The following is a 23,416-nucleotide window of genomic DNA, read 5'->3' on the forward strand; positions in this document are numbered from 1 at the left end:
TGGGCAGGTGTGTGGATGAGAAGATTTTGAGATGCATGTTTGGATATAGGGCCACAGGCAGAAGTGGGAGGTCCTGAGTCATAACTAGCAGCCACCATGATGAATGACATGCTCAGAACAGAACTCCGCGGCTCTGCAGAAGTGCAGCCCAGGACAGGACAACTTAGACTACCACTGGCAGGGATCAGGTGTGATGCTTCTCGTGGTACCAAACAGCCTGTTTTCTGCTGGGTTCTGAGGCCAACATGTCTCCCTGGCTGAGGGTAGGGACGATGTACCTTCCAAGCTCAGGAGGCCAGGCTCAGCTCACATCAGGGGTCAGGAGGCTGGGGTTCCCTGCTCTGATCATGGCCCATATGAGGGGAGCTCATCTGAAGAACAGCATGAACACAGAGGCCCATGGCCTGAGAAGGAGCCTTGTCTTGCAGCTACTGGGACAGGCAAGAAGCAGATGGTGGTTTTGGATGCCATGTGTGGGCCTGTGGGGGTGAGGGTGAGGGCGGCCTGAAGAAGGGCTGGCCCAGAGAGGGCCCAGTGGAACAGCCAGGGTGGGGTATCGAGTGTGATTAGGGGACGCCCCCCAGGCAGGCGTCCTGGACGGCCTTGGCACGCCAGGCCGCTGAGCCAGCACATTGCTTTGTGTACAAATCACCTCCTTTTCTCCTTTTCTTCTGTTCCCATCCCCCACCTCCCTCCACGCCTAAATTCTTCCCAAACCACCCCAGCCTTCGGACTGTCAGGAGGAAGCTTTGATGTGTGGTGGGTGGGAGGCCACTGGTCTTGGGTGGGCGCTGGGGGGTCCCTGCCACCCAAGTCCAGGCATCTACCCCAGGCAGGAGTTGGGGAGGGAAGGGAGCGACTGCAGCCTCCTGCTCCTCCCCCCCAACCTGTGTGCTTCTGGATGGGAGATCCCTGCCGGAAGGGGAGGCAGTGGTGCTGGGGAGTGGGCCGGGTGGGAGGAATAGGCTTGGGGAAGGGGGACCCAGGAAAAGTGTGGTCCAGACCAGGCCTAGCCCCTGAGGGTAAAGGATCTTGCCGACCGAAGGGGGCTGAGGGTTGGGGGTGTATTTACCATGGTGAGAGGCCATGTTCGTGTTCCTGGATGCTTGCATGTGTGCATGTGTGTGTGCACGTGCATGTGTGTGTGCATGTGTGTGTGCGTGTGCATGTGTGTGCTTGCAAAGGCCTGGGACTGCTGTGAGTGTACAGCTGGGTGATGTGCGTGTGTCCCCGCGAGTCCACACCTGTGCCCACAGCTGTGAGGGAGCAGCATATGGCTGCCCCCAGATTGTCCAACCTGGGCCCAGCTGGGACCCCACTTCCCTCTCGTGGCAGAAGCCTGACCTGAACATCTGGCCCCATCTGCCCACAAGAAAGGGAGTCCCAGAGCACGTGTCAGAGCTAGAAGGGCCCAGGCCTCCTGCCCCAGTGTAGGAGCAGCCCTTCTCAGGGTCACAGGTTCCTCACCTGTGCAAGGGGTGCCTGTGGAGTGGACACTGTGGTCCCCGTGGTGTCTGCCAGAGGCCTACCACCCAGGGCAACCAACTCGTCCAGGTTTGCTGACCACTTTCTTGGTTTCAGCACTGAAAGTCCCATGTCCTGGGACACCCTCAACACCCCTGCCAATCCCAGGAAATCGAGATGGCTGGTCCCACTTGCCAGGGACACTTCTCTTTCCACCACATCCTTCCCCCTGCTACCCCTGTCCCTGCCTCCCCCCACCCCATCTCTGGAACCTTCTCTGAAGGTTCTTACTTTCCCCTTTGCTTCCTGTCTTGTGCCCTCTTCCTCCTGCCCCTTACTGTCCCCAGGGTCTCACTCCGTCTCTCTCTGGCTGCAGGGGTCTCTTTCTCTCTGCTCCCCTCTCTTCCCTCTCTGTCTCTGGAGTCTCTGTCTCTCTCCTCTCCTGCCCTCAGGATCGTCCCCTGCTTGGTTTCTGGGGTCTGTCTCTCCATTCTCTGCTCACTTTGGTCTCCCCCTCCACCACCGGTGTCTCCCTGTCTCTGTCTCAGGGTCTCTGGCTCGCCACCTTCCCTGGGTGGTCCAGACCTCCCTCTTGTCTGCTGGCACCACACTCCCACGGGGCTGGCTGGGGTGGAAGCCAGGTCTGGGGGCTGTGACCAGGCCGGGAAGGGGAACCCAAGCAGACATGGTATTTATGTTAGGACTTCAAAGTGGGGCAGAGGCCGCAGTGGGGGTGGAGGGGTGGAGGGCGGAGGGTGGAGGGAGGGAGGGAGGTGCTAGCAGAAGCCAGACTAAGGTCAGCACCGGCCCCTCCCAGCTGAGGGTCTCCTTGGTGACACACACCTCCCTGTGGGACCCTGAGACTCGGCGTAGGGACAGAATGGACTATTTTTGTGCAGAGTTCCAAGAAAGGCACTTCCTGCACCCCCGCCCTGCCCCCAGCCCCATCCTTTCTTCCTGTCACCCTGCAGCTGGGTCTGGGCGCTGCAGGCCCCACCTCCTCTGAGCATCAGCCTGGCCTGGGAGACAGGGGTTCTGAGGGTGGCAGAAGCACAGGGCTCGATCTCAGCAGGAAAACATCCCTGGCATGGGGACAGCCCGTGCGTTCCCGGCTCTCTGGCAGAGGCCTCGCCTGGCAGGGCTGTGCGGGGCTGTAACCCAGTTGGCCCCAACCCAGCCAGGCGGACCCAGCCCTTTGGGGCCTCTGAGCTGTCAGCCTGAGGGCCTGAGGGGCCAAAATGGGCCAAGAGGGTCACCACACCCCTGCCCCCACCCTTGGCCTAACCCCTGCTAAAGACACCCAGCTGCTAGGACCTGGAAGGCGTGGGGTCAGGGGCCCTGGCCCTGGGTGGGGTGGGTGGGAAGGGCCGATTGTCTCATCCTGCGGCTCAGCTGAGCCCCGAGCCCCTCCCAGGGGCTGCGTCCAGCAGGCACCCTTCAGGCTGGGCCACCCCCTCAGGAAGTCCTCTGCCCCCAGACTCAAGGCTCGCTCTGGACCCAGGACCCTCTGGTCCAAAGCCCATTCAGGCCCCAAATGCCCCAGCCCCTGGGCCAGTGTCTCCTCCAGGGTCCTCCCCAGGCTCTTCCTGTGAATCACTCAGGCTGGAATCTGATGAGCTCAGGCCTCCCCACCCAGCGTTGCCTGCCTCTGCCTCCTGCCTGGCTAGTGGGGTCACCACACCCCTCATGGGGGTCTTTTCCAGCAACCCACATCTCCCACCAGGGTCTAGCATGGGCTGGGGTGGGTGAGTGGTGGTGGGACAGGACAGGGCTGGAGTGAGGAGACTCGGGAGAGGGCTTGGACCGCTTCTGTGTGCTCCAAAGTATAAAAGTCTGTGTGTGTCTGTGTGTGTGTGTCTGTGTGTCTATGTGTGTGTGTGTCTGTCTTTGTGTGTCTGTGTGTCTGTGTGTGTGTCTCTGTGTGTCTATGTGTGTCTGTGTGTGTGTGTCTCTGTGTGTCTGTGTGTGTATGTCTCTGTGAGTTTCTGTGTGTGTCTTTGTGAGTGTGTCTCTGTGTGTGTTTGCACTTCAAATGCTTGGAGAGTGGGAAGGGGCAGCCGTGTGCTGTGTCTCGGGAGAGTGTGCGCCGTTGCGTCTGAGTGGGGGATGGAGTGTGCCGGTGGCAGTTCTGCACAGGTAGGTCTAGTGCATCATGGGATCCCAGTGTAGGTGGTCACCATGTGTCTCTGTGTCAGCCTGTCCCCATGTGTGTGTCCAGGAGTCACACTCTGAACCCAAGAACAAGGGTGCTGAAATATTTCAGTGTTTGCAGATCCAGGGATGTCTGAGTGGGTGGCTGGTCTGTGTCAGGGTGTGTCTGGGAGGAGGGGCGCCAGTGTGTCCCTGCACCCCATCCCGCAGGAGTGAATGGCTGACAGTGTCAGGGTGTGCCTGTTAACCCTGGGGGTGCCCCAGGGTTGTTGCACGTGCCCGTGGCTGGCAGGATGTGCACCCTGTGTGGGAATGTGGGTCAGACAGTGTCACTGTGTGTTAATTGTGGGTGTGAACATGGGTTGCAAGGCCATGGCAGGGTGCTAGATGCTCTGTGTTGAAGGTGTGGCAGGGTAGGGTGGGTCTCAATGACTGCCTTCTGCTGCAACCCTTTCAGGCCACCAGTAGGCCCCTGGTTCCTAGAGCACACTGGCCCACAGAACCAGGGATATGCAGCCCTTCCCTCACCCCCCATTCGCAGGGTCCCAGGGACCCACCACTGGGTGCTTTCCTCCTAGCAGCAGGCTGGGAGCACTGAGTCCCCTGGGTCCTCCGCCTCAGCAGAGGGGACCCTGCACGTGGCCAGGAATGAGGTGCGCTCTGCCCCCTGGTGGCAGCAATGAAGGATGCGCCACCCTGCAACCCAGGAAAGCGGAGGGACAGTTTAGGCTGCGTCTTTCCGAATCAGTCATTCCACATAGATTCACAAGTGCCAGTTCCGGCCCGGCCATTGTTCAAGGCCCTTGAGATTTAACTGCGAACAAGGTGGGGGTGGCTCTGGCATTCTAGTGAGGGAAACAGACAATAAACTTGCATACAGAACCACCGTGACTTTAGGAGTGATAAGGTCAATGCTTCCAAGTAAGGAAATGACCCGACTGCTCTTTCATAGATCCAAACGTCAGAGTTCCAGTCTTGCCCTGCAGCAGCGGACGCTGGGCCAGGCATGTCACCTCTTGGAGCCTTGGCTTCTTTTTCCATAAGGACAAAGGCTGGGGAAGGGGTGGCATGGAATCCCTAGGACACAGTGAGCTTTCAGTTACCACCCAGATCACGCCATGCAAATGGAGAGATGTGACCTATTTCCCTTTGGCTGGAGCTGGGGGCGCTTGGTGCTTGGTCTATAACAGACACTTCTGTTGTTGTTGTTGTTGTTTGATTTTTTTTTTTGGAGTCTTGCTCTGTCGCCCAGGCTGGAATGCAGTGGTGTGATCTCAGCTCACTGCAACCTCCACCTCCCAGGTTCAAGCAATTCTCCAGTCTCAGCCTCCCAAGTAGCTGGAACTACAGGCGTGAGCCACCTTGCCCAGCTAACTTCTATATTTTTAGTAGAGATGGGGTTTCACCATGTTGGCTAGGCTGGTCTTGAACTCCTGACCTCAGGTGATCTGCCTACCTCGGCCTCCCAGAGTGCTAGGATTACAGGCCTGAGCCACCTTGCCCGGCCTATAACAGATGTTTGATAGATGTGCTGAGTGGACATATAAATCAGCCCCTCTGCTTTGAAGGACTACAGAACCTGGTGTCTGAGCCCTTTGTCCTGTAACAAGGCACTTTCCCTGAGCAAGTCTGAGTTTTCTCATCTGTAAAATGGGGCTAGTGAGACTGGTCTTACACTGGCCTATCATTGTCTGCCTTGCCTGGAGGCTCTGCCCCAGGATCATAATCTTGTTGATGCTGATTTGGCCTGGACCCCTGACCAATCAGTTTCTTTTTTGTTTTCTTTTCATTTCTTTTTTTTTTTTGAGATGGAGTCTTGCTCTGTTGCCCAGGGTGGAGTGCAGTGGTGTGATCTCGGGTCACTGCAACCTCTGCCTCCCGGGTTCAAGTGATTCTCTTGCCTCAGCCTCCCCAGTAGCTGGGACTACAGGTGTGTGCCACGACGCCTGGCTAATTTTTGTATTTTTAGTAGAGACGGGGTTTCACCATGCTGGCCAGGCTGGTCTTGAACTCCTGACCTCAGGTGATCCACCGGCCTCGGCCTCCCAAAGTGTTGGGATTACAGGCGTGAGCCACCAGGCCCAGCCCAGAGTTTCTTGAGAAGAAAAACCACAAGACCCAGGCAGCAGCTCCCTGTGGTGCCCCATCACTGGGGAGGGCAGGGAGGGGGTCAGGTCATGCTGAGCCTGGCAAGGGTGGGAAGGGCTTGTAGAGGCCCCAGAGCCTCATTCCCATGAGGCCAGTTGTACATCCGGCCCCTGGGATCCTCCGAGCACCCTCTACAAACATTCCAGGTCCTTCCTCTGGGACTGAGCTTGACACATCCCGTGTTTGATTCCCAGAACCGAGTCCTCCCTTATACTCCCCAGGTTTCTGCCTCACTGTCCCTCACTCCTGGTTATCAAACTCCAATCAGTGAACAACATTTATTGAACACCTATGGCATTTGTGCTCAGCATTGGACTGTGTGAGGCACTAGGGGTGAGTGGTGAAACAGGGAGGGGAATAGAAGAGCCAACGGGACACTTCCTATCAGCGAGAACCTTGGGAGGGCGTGGAAGTGGGGAGGGAAGAGCTGCTGGTGGCCTAGTGACAAAAAAAATGGGAGCCGTGCAACTGGGCTGTATCTGGACTGCTCATCTGAAAGTCAATGTCTGGCTGGGTGTGGTAGCTCACGCCTGTAATCCCAGTACTTTGGGAGGCCAAGGCGGGCGGATCACCTGAGGTCGGGAGTTTGAGACCAGCCTGGCCAACATGGGGAAACCCCGTCTCTACTAGTAACACAAAAATTAGCCAGGTGTGGTGGTGCACACCTGTAGTCCCAGCTACTCGGGAGGCTGAGGCAGGAGAATCACTTGAACTGGGAGGCGAAGGTTGCTGTGAGCCGAGATGGCACCACTGCACTTTAGCCAGAGCGACAGAGCAAAACTCCATCTCAAACAAACAAACAAACAAAAAAACCCAAAAAGCCAATGTCCACGATTTCTACCTCCCAGTTGTCATGTCTGACATTTGGGCTGACGTCCCCTCTGTGCTCAGTGCCCGAGGAGAGAGCCTCTGGGGTCATCCTCCATAAGGGGACAATTCCTTCCTTCCTGGGGATGGCCCCCAAGAGGCTGGCCTTACCCAGACCCCAGAATCTAAGGGACCTGGGGGCCAGTGGCCTTGGCCCCTGCGCTGTCCCCAGGTTGCCTGATGCTGCTGGACTGCAAGGCCCGGGACCCCCTCTGCTGCTGCAGCCTTGGAGGCGCCCTCACCCCTGGGTGGTCACCCTCTCGGCAGATTCCCGGGCCGTGCACACCCCCTCGTGGTTGGTGGTCGGCACTTTTCCTTGTTTGGATTTGCTGCCTGCTCTGGGCTTCCTTGGGGGCTGCCCCGGCCTTTGTGGGTGGCTTAGAATGGAGGGTGGAGTTGGAACCTGATGCCCTGGTTTGGGCGGGGGAACCCTTAAGGACTTGCTATATGACATCCTGGGAGTCACTTTCCTGACCCTCAGTGGGCCCAACAAGTCATGGCCAAGTAAAGCTTTTGTGAGGGCCAAGAGTTTAGTGCAGAGAGCATGGTTTCTGAGCCCCCTCTCCATTCTGGAAGCTTATCTGCCAGCTGGTGGATCTCCCCAGAGATGCTGGAGGGCCTGGGAGGACTCCAAATCTTGGGGAGAGACTGTAACTTGGGTACTTTCTCCCCAGGGCCTGATTTCCAGGGGAATAACCTCCCTGAACTGGGCATCAGCAGGTGGGAGCCCTGTCTGGCAGAGAGCGGACTCCGGGAGAGAGTTAGCAGCCCAGCTCTCTCCCTCCCTTTCTGCCATGAGCTCTGCTTGTAGCAAAATCACCCATTTTGATCACTGGGACACTTCTGGGAGCCGAGCAGGGCAGCAATAGTGTCCCCACTTTACAGATGAGAGTACTGAGGCTTGCAGGTGCAGGTCCTTCTGGTGTCCAGGACAGGGGTGGGCCCCAAGCCTTTGCTGCTGTTCTGTGGCCTCTCTAAATCCTCCTGACACCTAAGAGCCATTGGAACCTTTTAGGGTCTGGAAGTCCCAGCCTGGTGGGAGATACTTGGGTGGAGCCCTGCCTCAGCCATGCCCATGAGGGGAAGGGTAAAAGGAGCTGAGACCGTCACCCTCCCCACGTCAGAGGTTGGGCATCTGTCGGATTCGCCCCCACTTGGCACACCCTCATTGCAGGCTGGCTCACCCTCAGCTGGGGGAGAAGAACAAGAGGCAAGGGGCCTTGGGCACACAGTCTGGGGGCCCCCGAAGCCCCCTCATCTTTATTCCAGTTCCTCAGATGTGGCAGTTCCCCCAGCTTCCCTGGAAACAAGTATCAGACAAAGGTGGTGGCAGACACAGGACAGGGCCCTGGGTGGGGCTTGCTGGCGCTAAAAGGATTTCTCAGCAGGCTCAGGGTCTCCCGCCCCGAATGACCCTTCTGGCCACTTCAAGCTACTCCTCTGCTGCCCGGCTTCCCTCTGCCTCTGGTTCCCCTGGCTGAGCAGGGCCTTCCTGGGCTTGACCCTGGCCCCCTTCAGCAGTTGTCTCAGACTGTTCCCGAATGTCCCTGGGGCTGGCTTTGACCCCAGCATCCCCATCTCCCTGGCACCCTTGCTCCTCCCCTCTGCTTCTTGCCTCTGACTGCCCACTGCCCTCCTCCTCTGTCACAGCCCCCTGGGTCTCAGGCCACTCCGCCCGGCGGTAGACGAGGTAGCCAGTGGTGGGCAGCCTGTGGGCCAGGGCCCCAGGGGGCAGGCGGTGGTAGCCCTGCTCCTTGTACAGGAAGAGGCCAAAAGTGTTGGGCTGGGTCACTCGGAACTTGGTGGCACAGAGCTGGTTCAGGGTGGCAATCGAGGCTTCTGGGGGCACGGCCAGGGTCTTGGAGGTGCAGCCACTGCTGGGATCCTGATAGGCTACTCGGAGGAGGTGCTATGCAGGAGGAGAAGCAAAAACAAGTACTCAGCCCCGGCTGGCATGCATCTGGCTCCAAAGCTGAGACATCAGCTTTCTGGGCTGTGCAGGGACAGGGTGGGTAGGTGGAGATCCAGTGGGAGAACCAAGCGGCAAAAGCTCTATGTGCTCCAGGGGTCGGCTTGTGGGCCACAGCCGCAGGTGCAAGGACAGCCCAGTGGGGCGCTCACAAGCCTGAGATGAAGATTTGATAGTGAGTAATTTGTGCCCCAAGCACTCTCCTGCATTAACTCATTTAATCTTCACCTCAACCCCAGGAGGTAGGTCCTATTACCCCATTTTACTGATGAGAAAACTGAGGCACGAAGTAGTTAAGTAACTCGCCCAAGTCCCCACAACCCAGTGGCAGAGCCAGGATTAGAACCCAGGATCTGTCTACAGAGTCTGGACTCTTCACCAAGGACAGGAAGGTGAAAGGCGGGGATGGCGTCTGGCTCTGAGGACACGGTGGAGGGCCTGTTACCTGGAAGCAGTGGGTGGCAGGCAGGCGGCGCTGCTCCCAGAGGCTGAGGGAGCGCCGTAGCTCCTGCACGGGGCTCAGTGGGAGGGTGTGGGCCTGACCCAGGCCACTCAGCAGGGCCAGGCTGGCAGAGAGGCTGGTCAGGTAGTAGCCACCTGGGACACAGGGTGGAAGAACACGGCTCAGGCTGGGTGTGGGGCACCCCATCCCCTCTCCCCTTCCCTGCTTATTCAGGGCCCACCCAGACAGGGAGGTGGGTGGGGGTCCCTCACCCTCTCCAGTAAGCAGGCTGGGCTCCAGCAGCTCCGACATGTACTCGGCCTCCAGCAGCAGCTCAGGAAGGTCACAGTGGGCCAAGACGAGGCTCAGCAGAGGCAGGAACTCGTCGGCACCCGCGCCCTCCCCTGTGGGGACATGGTGAGAGGAAGAAGCTTCAGGTACAGTCCTTGCTTTAGGCAGTGACCCCTCCCCATGCCCTAGCAACCATTGAGGGGCTTCAGAAAGGATGCGCTCCTCTCTAGGCCTCAGTTTCGCCATCTGCAAGAGGGGAGGGTGGGCTCATTCTCTCCTGCAGGGCTGTTCTAGGGTCCTGGGGACCTGCCGCTGGGGGGCCCGCCTCTGACTCAAAGGGGCAGGGCAGGGTGAGGTGGTGGCAGGGACATACCTTCCTGGGTCCTCAGGGCCATGTAGAGCAGCTTGCAGGCCTGCAGGAGCCGCTTGACCTGGGCGCTGGGTGAGTAGGTGCGGAGCAGCTGCAGCAGCTTCTGGCGCACTTGCTCCAACTCTACTGGGGAGGGCAGGCTCAGGTGGGACCCGAAGGCTCCGGGGCCCTGGGCCCGGGCCAGGCGGAGGCCCTCAGCTAGGCGGCCCAGGGAGCCGTCTGCGGCAAGCCGGCGCCGCAGGCGGGCTGCCAGGATGGGCCGGAGAGGCTTGAGCACAGAGCAATGCAATGACTTCTCCAGGACATGTTCTGCCGGAGGGACAGGGAGGGGTCAGGGGAAGACTGGGGGTATGGGGGGCAGAGGCAAGGGGAGAAGGGAGCAGGGGTAGAATCGGGGAGGAGAGGCAAGGAAAGCAGGAGGAGGTAGCCTGGGTGAGACGGAAGAGTTGGGGGAGAGAGGGGATGGAACTCTCTCGAACAGTGGTAAGACAAGATGGATTTGTAAAGCAGCAGAACAGAATCAGACAGGCTGGCGCTGTGGAGGGGAGCAGAGGGTCGGATGGGGCAGTGCTGGAGCTATGGAGAGACGGAGCCTCACCCAGCCTCTTAGGCGACAGCAGCTTCTCAGGGCCCAGCTCCGCACTCAGCATGGCCCGGGCCCGGCTCAGCGCCTGACGGATGCCCTGCAGCTCCTGGGGCTCGGGCCCAGCCCGCACCTGGGTCAGTAGGTCCTGCACCAGCTGGCCCGCGGCTGTGTGTCGGTCCTGCATCAGTGCTGCCGCAGCCCGGCCCACCTGCCGCTCCGGTGCCAGTAGGGAGCAGAAGGCGGCGCTCATGGACCGAAGCAGAGGTCGTCGGCGGCCCAGGTGGGGTGAGGTCGCTGGGCTCCCCCGGGACCCTGGCACCCCCTCCTCCTCGGAGCTGCTGGGGGAGCCGCAGTCCACCTCTTGGAGGGAGGGCATAGGCGGAAGGCTAGGGCCACTGCCTGCTGGCACGCGGTACCCCACTGAGCTCTCCCTCCGTAGCAGCTGGCAAGGGGGCAGCCGCTCTGTCTGGCTGGGGACTGCCCCTGGCAGCACGGGGACGGGGGGAGGTGGCACGGCAGGTGGAGACAGGGGGCTGGAGGTCTCTGTGGACACGCGCACTTTGAAGCTTCTCTTGAATTTCTCCCGCTTGGTGGGCCCTAGGTCCCCCGGGAACAGGGGGTTGAAGAAGCACAAGGCGGCTCCGGTGCCCTGGTCCAGCTCTTGAGGGGACCGGGCCTTCAGCTGGGGCAACACTGGGCCTCCAGCCGGGCCCCGCTGAGCCTTGATGTTGAGGGAGGAGCTCCAGAACTCTAGGGAACAAGAAACCGACTGGGGCCTCCGGGACTGGTTAGGGGAAGTTTCCCAACCAAGGCAAGGCAGGGGCTTCGGGCGGTGTGCTGCGAGCCTTGCCTTCCCCTCGGCCTCAGCTTGTTCATCTGTGCAATGGGTGGCAGGAAGCCCTTACCAATGCCCAGATGGGAGATGGCCTCCAGCTCTTTGTGAGTGGCTGCGTGGTGGATGGCTCTGGGGAGCTGCAGCGGGAGGAGAAGGATGTCCCTGAGGCCAGAGAGGGGAGCAGAAGGGAGTGAGGGCCGAAGAGGGCGGGAAGGATGGGCTGTCCCAAGGAGCAGGGCCCGTGGACACCAGGCACCCTGCGGGCAGACTCACCGGGTGTGGCAGTAGGCACAGATGAGCTGGACTAGGTCTGGGAACATGAGCTCCGAGCCCTCCAAGGAGACGCCTGAGAGAGGAGGGAAGTGAGGTGCTTCTCTGGGGAACCTCCCTGCTTCCAGCCCCTTCCCGCCAGGCCAGCCCCTCACCGCCAGGGCTCTCCAGGATGTAGTGGCTGGAGACGAAGGAGGGGCCACTGGCTTCAGGCAACCGCATGCACAGGGCCTGGCACTGGCGGGTGTTAGATTTCCGCACGAGGAACGTCTGCAAGTGGATAGGGCTCAGGCAGCTCAGGACCTTGGCGTCCCATCCCTCTCCCTCCCACCCCTGGCTGGCCAGTCCCTGGAGTGTGGGGCAAGACTCACCCCCGGGGGCTCGGTCCTCAGCATGTGCAGTGCGGCCGCTGCGTTGGCTTGCAGCTGCAGCCACACGGGCCGGGTGAGCAGCAGGCGCTCCCGCAGGCTCACAACGCGCCCCGGCCGCTGCGGCCCGCCTGCCTGCCCGCCGCTGGCATTGGGCACGTCATACAGTGGGTCCTGGGCTGGCCTGGGGGCAGGCACCCAGATCTGAGCAGGGAGCCAGGGGCTGGGACCCTTGCTCTCCTCTTCCCCACTCCCGGGTTTCCCACTTTCTCTATCCCCGGATAGGCCCTCCTCTCGCAGCCCCTCCCTGCCCCACCTGGCTGCCCTGCCAACTTCACTAACTTTTCTCTCGCCAGGTGCCCAGTAGTGAAGCTGGACGGGCTGGGGGCTCCAGGAGAGCCCGCGCCTGACTCTCCAGGGCTTTCCATGGCTGGGAGCTCCTTCGCTTCAGGAAGAGAATCCAGTCCCAAGGCAAGGCACGCACATCCCCAGTGAGTAACACTTCCTGAGGGCGGTCCGCCTGTCACACCCGCCAGTTAACTCTTGTGTGTCCACCCTGCCTGGCCAGTGCCCGCCTCCTCTGTTCTGGACCCTGCTTTGGGGGTCAGGGGTCCCCTCCATGCTAGCCCTGCTCTGAGGGCCCCAGCTGGGGGATGCCACCTCCACACACGGCCTCCTGCAGCCTCACCAGCTACTCACATTGCACACGTGGGCGGGAAGTGGTTAAGCGGCCTCAGTCCCCACAGGCCCCAGCCATGCTCTGGGGGCACCTTTGGCTCTGTGGTCAGTTGCTCATCTGCCCCTGGCCTCAGGTCAGCCTTGTGGGAGAGCACCCTCTACTGTCCATAGATGACTCATTCCTGAACCTGGGTTTTAGGATTTTAGGTTGCCATGGAGAAAATATGCCATGTCTCCATGGAAACCAACCTATTTGCTTAACTGAGGTTCTGGGGGTGGTTCTGACACTCAGTGCTAACCAGGGGGAGTCTGGCTGTGAGGTCGTCAGCACATGGCGGTGCTGCCGGCTGCCTCCCACGCACGCAGGCTCTGCCAGCCTGCCTTGCCAATCTGCCAGGCAACTGGGACAGGTGCAGACATGACCCAGGCTCCAAGCACACGCATCCACCCTCCCCGCCGAGGCACTCTCCCGGTGCCATATGTTGACTCTGCCCAGCGCCAGGCAGCCCAGCGCCCACCTCCCCCTCCCCAGCCTGGCCCCACGCACAGTGCTCTAGCCTCTGCTGGGTAGTGTGAGGAGTGGCAATCTGCAGGCACCCTAGAAGTCGGCCTGGTTCAGGTGCTCCCCACGGGAGCCCTGATTCTCTTGCAAGGTAAATCACACACACACACAGGGCACGCCAGAGTCCCAGGAAAGGTTTTAATTCCAGTCCTTGGAATCTGAGAAGCAGACACCAAGAACTGCCCTGAGAACACCTGGGGGGCCTGGCATCTTGCCTCCAGATCCAGCCAGGGTGGACAGACCCCCAGATAATCACGTCTGACTCAGAGTTCCCGCACAGTGGAAACTGGCTCCCTGGCCCTGAGGCCGGACAGCCTGCATCCAACATCAGCAAGAGGATGTGGCTTTGACTTCGGCTGTCTTCTCTGTCAGGGGAGCCCCAAGAGATGGATCTTCAGGAGTGGGAGGTGGCAGGCGGCTCAGGGATGGAGACAGCAGCCTTGCCTGGTCAGGTCAGCTCCACGGCCACAGCTGTGCAGGCCTCGAGGAGGGCAGAGGAGGAGTCCAGGCCAGTGCCAGATGGAGTGGGAGGGCCCAGCAGCACCACAGGAGCCTGGCTGGGCAGACCCTGAGGGGCCTGTGGGTCCGCCTGTCTGCAGGAGGAAGACGAGAATCCTGGGTGCAGTGCCAGCTGCTCTGAGGGTCCCCCTGGCTGTGAACAGCAGGGTCAAGGTCCTGTGCATATGTGGGAAGAAGAAAACTGTCACCAGTTAGGAAGCTGAAAGGAAGGAGGCAGCCACTTACTGAGTGGCTTTGGGCTGGCCCAGAACAGGCCTCCTGGGCAGCTCCACAGCCCTCCCTGACCCCTCCTGAGTGGGAGCTCCATCAACCCAGAGCTTCCCCAGCCCCATCCTGGTTCCTGCTCCTCAAACTCCCACAAGCCCCTCAAATCTAGACCATCCTAACTTTCTTGAGCCACTGATTCTGACACAGTCACAGCCTTTCTCTGGGCTCCTTCCTGGAAGCTGAGCTGAGGAAAGGTGATGGCAAGGGGGCAGGGAAGGCCATGCAACAGCCATGGTTCTTACCATCCGATTTTCTCTTCTGAGGGGACACAGCTGCCCTAGCCTGGGTGGGTGAGAAGAAAAGCTCCCCTGAGAGCCCACCTCCAGCTTGGCAATCCCTGCCCCACCCCCCACCTCTGTGGCTTGTGGGCTGTTGCCTCAGTGCTGTGCCCCCAGGACCGGGAGCATAGGCCCCACCCAGGCAGAGCTCCCATGCTCCTGACTGCTGGCCAGCTCAGCGGCTCTCCCGCCTCCCCGCCACCCTCCCACCCCATCAAAACCTGCCCCAGAACGGGAAGGGGCTGACACAGACTAGAAATCCCTTTTCCCAGGGCCGCCTTGAGCAAGAGGACTTGTGAGCCAACTGCGATCCAGGGACTCTGGGCTGAAGATGGGGAAGCCTTGGTGAGCAGAGAACTCCCAGGCCTGCAGATGGCAGAGCTGCTGCCAGGGTGGGGGGCCCTGAGGTGGGGCAGGTCACGTGGGCAGCAGCGGCCCCCACCTTTTTGATGGCTGTCCAGTCCTCCAGGATGTCGATCTCTTGAAGCATGTACACGATGTATGGGCCTGTGGTGGGGGTCAAGGAAGCCTAGTGGAGGTGGCAGGTGACGAGGGCAGGGCCACCCACCTGACATTCAGGAGTGGGGGTACAGCGGACAGCATGGAGTGGGAGCTGAGGACCTGGGTCCGAGGTCAGGTTCCACCTCCTACCTCTTAACCCCCTGGTTCCAGGGGTCGTCCTGGAACCAAGTCTATGGAGGACACCAAATGTTGTTCCCTGTCCCTTGCTCACCCTCACCTCGTCTTAGGTCAGCTGGCTGAGGCCCATCCCATCTCACTCTGCAGCACTGGCCCTAACCTGGCCCCTTCCCTGATCCAAAGACAGACGCAGGGCTTATCCCTTCAGAGACAACTCTCCCTCCCCCAGTGCTCCCTACTTGATGTCTCCATGCCTTCACCTTCCATTCACTCAAGTCATGGCCTTCCAGATTCCTCCCTCCCTGCCTGGGCCTGCTCTCCAGCACCAGGTTGCCATAATGACTAAGACTGGCTGCTGCAGGAATACCCTCAGGGGTGCAGGAGGACTCAGCTCTGCCAGGACAGATGAAAGCACAGCAGGCCCTGGACTAAGCTTAAGCTAGCCCTGCCTAGGAAGGGGTGGAGGCAGCCAGTGCCCTCTGGGATGTGGGTACCCCATGGTAGGGCACAGAAGCACACAGGAAAGTGAAGCCATAGGCACCAGGGTAAGACCAGAAGAGGCCTCACAGAGGAGGTAACGTTTGAGATGAGCCCTGGACAGTCGGGACAGGCAGGACTTCCAAGAGGAGGGTGGGATATGAGCAAAGGCTCCCCAGGGAAAGCTGGGGACCCGCTCGGACAACCCCGGGAGATGGAAAGGCCTCAAAGGCCAAACCTCACTCAGGCTCAAGTGCAGTGGCACCATCACGGCTCACTGCAGCCTTGATCTCTCAGGCTCAAGCAATCCTCTTACCTCAGCCTTCAGAGTAGCTGGGACTATAGGTGCACACCACCACGCCTGGCTAATTTTTGTTATTTTTTCTAGAGATGGGTTTCACCATGTTGCCCAAGCTGGTCTCGAAAAGAACTCCTGGGCCCGAGCAATCTACCCGCCTTGGCCTCCCAAAGTGCTGGGACTGTAGATGTGAGCCACGGAGCCCAGCCCGTTTCTGTTTTCCTAGGGTTCACATAGCCCAGAGAGACCCAGGACCCCGTAAGAAACTGCTGACAGCTGGATTTGCCTGGACATATTCACATGACACCAAGCAACCACGAGTGCATCTAGTGTGACTGTCCTCCATGTCCCCTCCAACCCCCTCCCCTGGGTCTGGAGTTGACCCTTACATCCTGCCCACTTTTAGGCCACCTTGGGTGAAAGGATACCAGAAACCAGAGGTGCCTTCTTCCTCTTGCTGGGCGGCAGGGAGTCCCAAGACCTGGAGCTGCCTCTGGCGTGCAGTTTGTCATCCCACCATTCTGCCCCGAGACCCAGAGTTAGAATTGGGGTGCTGGCCCACAGGATACTCCCTTTTCTGTAGCCTCTGCCTCCACCATGGGCCGGCCTGGCCTCATCTCCCCTGTCCCATCACCACCCTGGGCTTGGGGTAGAAGCCCCTTAGGGCTGTTCAGGTCCTGCCTGCACAGCTGCACAACCCTGGGAAGAGGTCACTGCACTTCTGTGAGCCTCATCTGTTTAGTGGAGAGTGGGATGACGACAATTCCTGCCACCCCAGGACTCCACGTGAACACAGGTACTATGAACATGGAGGGGACTAGAGCTATTGCATGTGACTGCATGTCACACTGATACCTGTTTTGGAAAGAGCAGGGGCAGAAGAGGCAGGGAGACCCACTCTGCTTGAGCCCCCATTATGTGCCAGGCCCTTTCCAGGCCTGGTCTCCTTCAGCCCTCACACTGACCCCAACAGGCAGGTCCTCTGGCTGTCCCCTTGACTTCAGGACATCTGAAGCCCAAAGAGGGGTGGGCGTGGACTGAGCGGGGCCCAGTTCCGGGGTGCCCAGGCTCTCGCGCTTACCAGAGCTGAGGTCCAGGCTCTGGCGGTCCTCCTCCAGCCTCTGGATCCGCTCCTGCAGCTCCCCCTGCAGCGTGTCATAGAGCAGCAGCTTCTCACTCTGGAAGAGGGGGCAATAGCTCAGCAGGACGGATGGGGTGAGGCCACTTCAGGCTTTGTGCCCTGCCTCACCCCCAGTGTGCCCAATCAGGCCCACCTCCAGGTGCTGTTTGGCTCCCTGCAGCTCACATTCGTACTTATTCCTGATCACATCCAGACAGAAGCCCTTGTAGATCCCTGCAGAGAAAGGGAGGAGGGTCCCTGCTTGGCTGGGGAGCCCGGTGCCCACATAGGAGGGCTGAGAGCAAAGGGCAAGGCCGGGCAGGAACGAGAGAGGAAGGGGACAGGGTGCCACGGGTTCTGGGAGGGGAAGAGGGTACAGAACCACCCACAGACCTGCCACCTGAATGCGAATCTTGAGGCTCCGCTGCAGCCCCCCAAGGGGCTCCGTGTATTCAGGGGCTCTCTCAGCCCCCACTTCCTCCAGCCGCAACCGCAGCTGACTCAGTCGTTCCCTGAACAACCTGCGTGGTAAAAAGGCAGCCGTGCACCCATTTGCTCACCCATCGCTCTTGGGCAAACACATACCCAGCACCCATTCCACAGCAAGCCCGGTGTTAGGCGCGCACTTCCTGGGCACCAACCACGCCTGCCCAGTACCAGGCCCACCACCTCCTCATCCCAGATCCTCGCAGACCCAGCCCAAGGTGTCCCCACGCTCACTTCTCCTTTAGCTCCGAGAACTGCTTCTCTAGGTCCAGCATCTCACTGACACACTCGCTGCGGCGTCGCTCATAGTCCTCATCATCCATCTCTGGGACAAGAGGCCAGTAAGGGCTAGCTCTGGGGAGGAGTGGTGGGTACCCGCATGTGTGCATGTGCGTCCTGCATGTGTGTGTGTGCATGCATGCCTGTGTGTAGGGCCTGTGTGTGTGTGCGCGTACATGCTTGTGTGAAGGGGCTGTGTGTGTGCGTGTGTGCTTGTGTGTAGGGGCTGTGTGTGCATATGCGTGCGTGCTTGTGTGAAGGGGCTGTGTGCACGTGTACTTGTGTGAAGGGGCTGTGTGTGTGCATACGTGCTTGTGTGTAGGGGCTGTGTGTGCGTGCTTGTGTGTAGGGGCTGTGTGTGCGTGTGTGCGCTTGTGTGCAGGGTCTGTGTATGTGCTTGTGTGTAGGCGCTGTATGTGCATGTGCGTGCATGCTTGTGTGTAGGGGCTGTGTGTGTGCATGTGTGTGTGTAGGGGCTCTGTGTGTGTGTGTGTGTGTCTGTGTGTGTAGGGGCTCACCGGAGCTCTCCTCTTCTGACTCTGTCTGGCTGCCGCTCCGCTCCTCCTCACTCTCTTCCTCCTCCCCATTCATCTCAGCAGCAGAATCACCCTCTGCTTCCATCTCTTCTGTGTCTTTGCTTGGAGGCTGGACAGGCATCTGGACTCTGGGAGAAGGAATGGAGCTATCACTTATGGCTGCCCACAGCTCAGAGGGGGAAAGAGGCAGCAGGATGCTGAACACAACTCGATCCCAGATGGGGAAAGCCAGGGAAGTAACTGGCCTGGCCACACCTTGAGCACAAACTGGGTGACAAGGGTGCAAATGGCCATCTGCACCTCTCACAGAAGGCTGGGAGCTGTGGAACTGCTCCTGCTCTTGGATGTCACTGGTGATCCTAATCCTAGCAATACTGGCCAAGGCTGTGATCCACAGAAAGGAAAGGCCCAGGGGGCACTCTCCACTGCCTTTGCAACTGGACCTAAATTTCTTTTCTTCTTATTATTTTTTGAGACAGAGTCTCGCTCTGTTGACAAGCTGGAGTGCAGTGGCACGATCTCAGCTCACTGCAACCTCCTCCTCCTGGGTTCAAGCGATTCTCCTGCCTCAGCCTCCTGAGTAGTGAGATTACAGGCGCCCGCACCACACCCAAACTGGACCTAAATTTCTAACTGGGGCTTTCAAGGTCTTTCCCAGACTGGACTTGACCTACCGGTCCAGCTCCTTCATCCCAACATATAATGGCTAGTGCTTGCACTTCCACTATCCACCCTCTGCCTCAGCTGTTCCTTCTGCCTATAATGTCCTCGGCTTCTCTTCCAGATAATGTTACAATCTCCTTGTCTTTCATTGTGCTCTGGGTCAAATCCCATCTCCTTCTGCTTCCTCTTGGACCGCAGGTCATCAGTGCTCCCCTCTCTTTTCTGTGTCTTCAGCTTCTAACTCTTAGCAACCTCCTTCCCATGAAACTTTGGATGTGCTTGGGTACTTCCTAGCATTAACAAAACACAGAAACACAAAACCTCACCCATTCCACCTAACTGCTCCATTTGCCACTTCACAGTTACACTTTTCAAGGTCTCATGAACACTGGCTGTTCCTACTTTCACCTCCCACTTGTTCGATGTCCTCAATCTCAGCTGAAACTGATCCCGTAGCATTAACCAATGACTTCCTTGTGGCTAATGCCAATATTTTTCAGTGCTTATTTTAATTGTCTGCTCGGCAACATCCAACACTGGTAAGCATTCCTTCTTTTACTGACTCATCTAACATGTATTGAACATCTAACATATGCTAGGTACCGTCAGACGCTATGGTATGCAGGCGCCCAAGTGTGAATGTCTTTGACCTCACGGAGTTTACAAGTTCCTGGGAGACAGGGGCAAAGGAGCACACTATAACCATGATAGGAGGAGAGTTAAGACCAGGGGCATAAGGGAGGGGTATATAACCAGGACCTGGAGCCCGATGCAGCAGGGAGGCTTCCAGACAAAGATGGACCAGCTGGGTGAGCTGCACTTATTGAGGGAACATTCCAGGTAGAGTCAGTAGCAAAGACCCAGAAATAAGAGAAGGAAAGCAGCTGGGGGAACATGGGTCTAAGTCTCAGTGAGAAATCTGAGCTGCAGGGATTTGGTCGTCAGCATACAGCAAGTTCTTCATGCCACAGGAGAAGGTGCAACCAGCAAGGCACAATGTGTGCGATCAGAAGACGCCCAGGGTCACCAAAGGGGCAGATGAGGAGACCCCTACAAAGGAGGAGGCAAAACCCGAAGTGGTGGAGAAAGAGTTTTAGAAGAAAGCCAAGTACTGCCAAGGAGTAATTGCACTGATAGTGCCAAGTACTGCCAAGAGATCACCTAAGAAGAAGAAAACAGTCCTCTCAGCAGATAATCTCTCAACCTCCTGCAGGCTTCTATTTTATTGTGTTCTTCCAACTTCTCTGGACACTGCTTTGTAGTCCTTTAGAACAGTGCAGACACCACTCCCTCCAGGAAGCTTTGTTTATATCTATTTGCCTGTTCTCATATCTGTCCCCGCAATCAGTCTATGAGCCTCACTAGGGCAGGGGCTGCACATGTAACTTATTTACCTAGCACAGTGCTGGTTCACTTGATGACTGGAGGATTTGCAAATACAAATTTAACAAAAAAATTTTTTGTGAGACAGACATTAGTTTTTACTTTTCGGTAGTCCCAGGTCCCTGTAATGGTAGCAAGCTTTCCTTGACACCAGTTCAAGTTGTGTATAGTAAGCCTGGCCTAGGTGAGTGTTTAGTCATATTCCTCAACAATTTCACTAATGACCTGCACCTGACTTGAAAGGCTCGGTTCTCTAAACCAGCTTCATCTTCCCGTTATCAAGCCTCAGTTCCCAACATTTGCAATGCCTCTTCACTGTTAGTATATTCACTTTGTAAGATGCAGCTTAAGTCTATCTCTTCCAGAAGCCTTTCTTTCCTCCCCCTGGTTCTGATTATGAGTGAGTTAAGTCACAACCTTCCCACCTTACCCCGGGTGCAAAAAGCGGATAACCATTCCTGCTCTGAGTGTTGAGGAGCTCACAGGTGGTAAGGGATGGAAAAGCACACTGTAAAGCGCTGTACACAGGCAATTTATCTTTTCAGAATGGCAGCTCCTCCGGGGCAGGCCCCTAGGGAAGGCAGACCCTCCCCACTCTCGCAGAGGTCAATCCAGCTTCTCCGCAGCGCCCAGGGGGCCTCCCGCTCCCTTCTAGATGCGCCGGAGCGGGCCGGAATATCACTGGCTCGCCCGCAGCCCAGCACGCGTCAGGCCGGTTAAATCTCTGCTTCGGCCTCGGAGGAGGAGGTTGTGCCGGCCCTGCTCGACTAACCGGAGAGGGCGAACCAAAAGCCATGCATGACGATACGCACCGCGGGGACTGGAGCCTCTGGCCTCACGACGGAGATTCCCTGAGAGCTGCCCGTGGTTGCCGGTACCGGCTGCTGCCGCCGGACTCCCGTAGGCGCTGCGCGGCTCCCTTTTCTTCGGGAGGCAGAGCCTATCGGTGCTTCCGTGTGCGTCATCAGGAGGCGACCGTCGGGGATGCTCACAGTTGGACAGTTTGGTCCCGAGGCATGCTGGGATACCGCGGGCCGGTCTCCATAGTAACTGGCCGACATTCGCGCAGGCCTTCGGCCTGCAGGGAAGGCCCTGATGGTTCAGTGCTTTGCAGACGGTGCCCTTCGTCCGCGGCCATCTCCCCACGGCGTGCAAGGGGAGAAGCCGGCCCCGATCCCCCCACCCCCAGCTCAGGAGAGTAACGGAGCCAGCTGTGGGTGTGAACACGCATTTATTTACACATTGTCATCGGTAGGCACATACCCAGCCCAGCCCGTTGAAGGGACAGATCTCAGGCTGTCACCCATGGAACCTGCAGACCCTTCCCTCCTCCAGAACCCTTGAAGGCGAAGCCCTGAGAGAACCAGGAATTTTAGGCTTCTGTTCAAGAGCTAAGAACTAAATTTTATGCCTTCATCTGATTTCTTTCCAAAAAGTCCATTTCATTAAGTATTCAGACTTCTTAGCTCCATCCCATTCATACTTTTTGCTCTCCTACTACCCACCCAAGATTGTTAATAATAACAATAATAATAACAACAATAATACTGCGATAATATTAATACTTCACATTTGTACGAAGCTTACAGAATGTTTTCACATATAGCATCTCATCTGAGCCTCCCAACAGTTCCGTGAGGTAGGTATTCTCACCTCCCTTTTTACAGACAGGGTAACCGAGGCTCAGAGAGGTAACGGGATTTACTCAAGGCCACACAGCTAGTTAGTGGTAAAGCTAGGAATCGATCCCAGCACCCCATATCCAAGTCCAGTGTTTCAACACCACAGCTACCTCTGTAAAGTGGAGCGACATTTCTTACCCCAGTCAGGCCTAAATGGTGGCCTGAGGAGCCAAGAGGCTGACTTCTCAGATTAGGGGAGGGAAGGGCTCAGCAGCGTCGGGGAGAGTTGGGGTACTTGGCCTTCAACTCCTGTTTGAACTGGCGATATAGGATCTTATTGTGCTGATTTTCAGCCTCCTTTTGGGGATGGAACTTCAACGCTTCTTTGAAGCCCTTATGAACCAAGAAACCTTCGTTCAGGACCTCAAAATCAAACCCCGCCACATGCAGCTCGCAGGCCTGCAGGAGGAAAGACAGGTTAGCAAAGTTTGATGACATTGACAGGCCTGAGACTGACTTCCCTAAAGCCACAGTCCAGCGTCCTCACCCCTCTGGAAGTATCCTGGATCTTCCACACCATCCACCCACCTCCTGAACTATGATCCCTCCTGCTTCATTGCCTCCTTTCCATCCAGGGCCACTCCTCATAACTCCCTGATCCCACCACCCCTCCTGCCCCATTACCCCTGCCCTCTCCCTTATGAGCACCTGGCTGATTCGGTTGAAGCCGTACTGCCGAAAGCGCTCGTCGAAGGTGGGCACCTTGCCTCCTGCCACGTAGAATGGCTCCCAGGGGTCCTGCCAAGGTACCACGTAGGCGGGCCGCAGCAAGCTCTCTTCCGGCAGGTTGACCCAGCGGGAATAGTTGGTGGGTGCCTGGCAGGGGGTGCACAACCCATAATAGAAGGGCCGCACCTCGCCAACCTGGTAGAGCTGCACCAGCTCGTTTTTGTTCATGGGCATGCGGCGGGCTCTTCGGATTTCGAAGGCAGGCACCACCAGCGCGGTGCCTCCCCACTGGTTGCTCTGATCCAGCATTTCCCGCAGGCCTCTCCACAGCCCCTCGCTGGGCACCATGTCCACATCGATCACCAGGGCATAGTTGGCCCCCTCACGAGCCAGATTCCTCAGCAGGTTATTGGGGTAGGAGACATTGGTGCCCAGCGCATAATTAATCCCGGGCTGGGCCACCCTGGCTAGCTTGTCAAAGACCTCCTGGCAGGACCGCAGCAGGGCAAACTCCCCCGGCTCCCGGGGGTCGGGCACGGCTGCCTCGTAACGCGAGGGGCACACGAGGTGCATGGCGACCCTGGCGCGCATGTCGGGGCAGTGGCTGCTCAGCGCGTAGGCCAGCACCGTGGCCAGCTGCGCCTCCTCCTTGGTGGCCGCGAACACCGACACGGACAGCGGGCCCTCCCAGCGCTCCAGCAGACCCGACAGGTGCAGCAGGTTGTCCACGCTGGCGTGCGTGGCCAGGATCACATCGTTGGGGTCCATGGTGGTCTTCAGCAGGCCCCTGTAGACGCGGTAATCGCCGCTAGCGTCCAGGACGCCTCCAGAGGCCAGCGCGGTGCGGAGCTGCGCCTTGACCTGGTCCACGGACCGTGGGGACGGGGGAAAGAACTCAAAATATTGGTCTTGCTCCTCCTGCCCGTGCAGTCCGGACAGCAGCGACAGGTAGAGCAGCTGCAGCATCGCCACCAGCATGAGCGCGGCCAGCAGCAGCTGGTAGAAGGCGCACCGGATGGCGTAGGACATCTGCATGGCTCTCGGGGCTCGGGGCGCGCAGCAACGACCACCCGGCCACAGACTACGCCAGCGGCCGCAAGCCCGGATTTACCGCAGCCT

At 58.5% G+C, this 23,416-nt stretch overlaps 3 protein-coding genes across 11 annotated transcripts, besides 4 other annotated features; all 3 read right to left on the reverse strand.

Annotated features, from left to right (window-relative positions):
- Positions 2,084–2,833: an enhancer, noted in NCBI's record as "H3K4me1 hESC enhancer chr11:66093768-66094517 (GRCh37/hg19 assembly coordinates)". NCBI's record gives its function as "activates a minimal SCP1, AML or CMV promoter by ChIP-STARR-seq in naive H9 embryonic stem cells {active_cell/tissue: H9 hESC(naive)}" and the evidence as "EXISTENCE:reporter gene assay evidence [ECO:0000049][PMID:30033119]".
- Positions 6,028–12,561, reverse strand: RIN1 (Ras and Rab interactor 1). 6 transcript variants are annotated; one of them, XM_047427919.1, is made up of 10 exons: positions 12,461–12,561; positions 11,765–11,945; positions 11,549–11,663; positions 11,397–11,469; positions 11,194–11,285; positions 10,301–11,038; positions 9,706–9,825; positions 9,314–9,445; positions 9,045–9,196; positions 6,028–8,539 (listed from the first exon to the last, which is right to left on the reverse strand). In XM_047427919.1, coding segments are annotated over exons 1-10 (2,082 nt in total). In that variant the 5' UTR covers positions 12,463–12,561; the 3' UTR covers positions 6,028–8,062. The 6 variants fall into 6 exon arrangements, with proteins under 6 accessions (XP_047283875.1, NP_001350488.1, NP_001350489.1 ...); NM_001363559.2 differs by having other exon boundaries at positions 9,706–10,011; NM_001363560.2 differs by lacking the exon at positions 12,461–12,561 and adding an exon at positions 12,104–12,221.
- Positions 12,701–13,555: an enhancer, noted in NCBI's record as "H3K4me1 hESC enhancer chr11:66104385-66105239 (GRCh37/hg19 assembly coordinates)". NCBI's record gives its function as "activates a minimal SCP1, AML or CMV promoter by ChIP-STARR-seq in naive and primed H9 embryonic stem cells {active_cell/tissue: H9 hESC(naive and primed)}" and the evidence as "EXISTENCE:reporter gene assay evidence [ECO:0000049][PMID:30033119]".
- On the reverse strand, positions 13,126–20,891 carry BRMS1 (BRMS1 transcriptional repressor and anoikis regulator). 4 transcript variants are annotated; one of them, NM_001024957.2, is made up of 10 exons: positions 20,759–20,891; positions 17,883–18,028; positions 17,320–17,410; positions 16,993–17,120; positions 16,754–16,833; positions 16,561–16,657; positions 15,908–16,000; positions 14,508–14,572; positions 14,030–14,069; positions 13,126–13,594 (listed from the first exon to the last, which is right to left on the reverse strand). In NM_001024957.2, the coding sequence occupies exons 2-10, from the start codon at positions 18,019–18,021 to the stop codon at positions 13,455–13,457; spliced, it is 873 nt and encodes a 290-aa protein (NP_001020128.1). In that variant the 5' UTR covers positions 18,022–18,028; positions 20,759–20,891; the 3' UTR covers positions 13,126–13,454. The 4 variants fall into 4 exon arrangements, with proteins under 4 accessions (NP_001020128.1, NP_056214.1, XP_024304194.1 ...); NM_015399.4 differs by having other exon boundaries at positions 13,126–13,676; XM_024448426.2 differs by lacking the exon at positions 14,030–14,069.
- Positions 20,631–21,181: an enhancer, noted in NCBI's record as "H3K27ac hESC enhancer chr11:66112315-66112865 (GRCh37/hg19 assembly coordinates)". NCBI's record gives its function as "activates a minimal SCP1, AML or CMV promoter by ChIP-STARR-seq in primed H9 embryonic stem cells {active_cell/tissue: H9 hESC(primed)}" and the evidence as "EXISTENCE:reporter gene assay evidence [ECO:0000049][PMID:30033119]".
- Positions 20,637–21,066: an enhancer, noted in NCBI's record as "active region_5043". NCBI's record gives its function as "activates an Ori minimal core promoter by ATAC-STARR-seq in GM12878 lymphoblastoid cells {active_cell/tissue: GM12878}" and the evidence as "EXISTENCE:reporter gene assay evidence [ECO:0000049][PMID:35858748]".
- B4GAT1 (beta-1,4-glucuronyltransferase 1) lies at positions 21,161–23,416 on the reverse strand. The gene is made up of 2 exons (NM_006876.3): positions 22,277–23,416; positions 21,161–22,027 (listed from the first exon to the last, which is right to left on the reverse strand). Exons 1-2 carry the CDS (start codon positions 23,330–23,332, stop codon positions 21,836–21,838), a joined length of 1,248 nt encoding a protein of 415 aa, NP_006867.1. The 5' UTR covers positions 23,333–23,416; the 3' UTR covers positions 21,161–21,835.

This window comes from Homo sapiens, chromosome 11 (assembly GCF_000001405.40).
Source record: "Homo sapiens chromosome 11, GRCh38.p14 Primary Assembly".
NCBI classification, from domain to species: domain Eukaryota; kingdom Metazoa; phylum Chordata; class Mammalia; order Primates; family Hominidae; genus Homo; species Homo sapiens.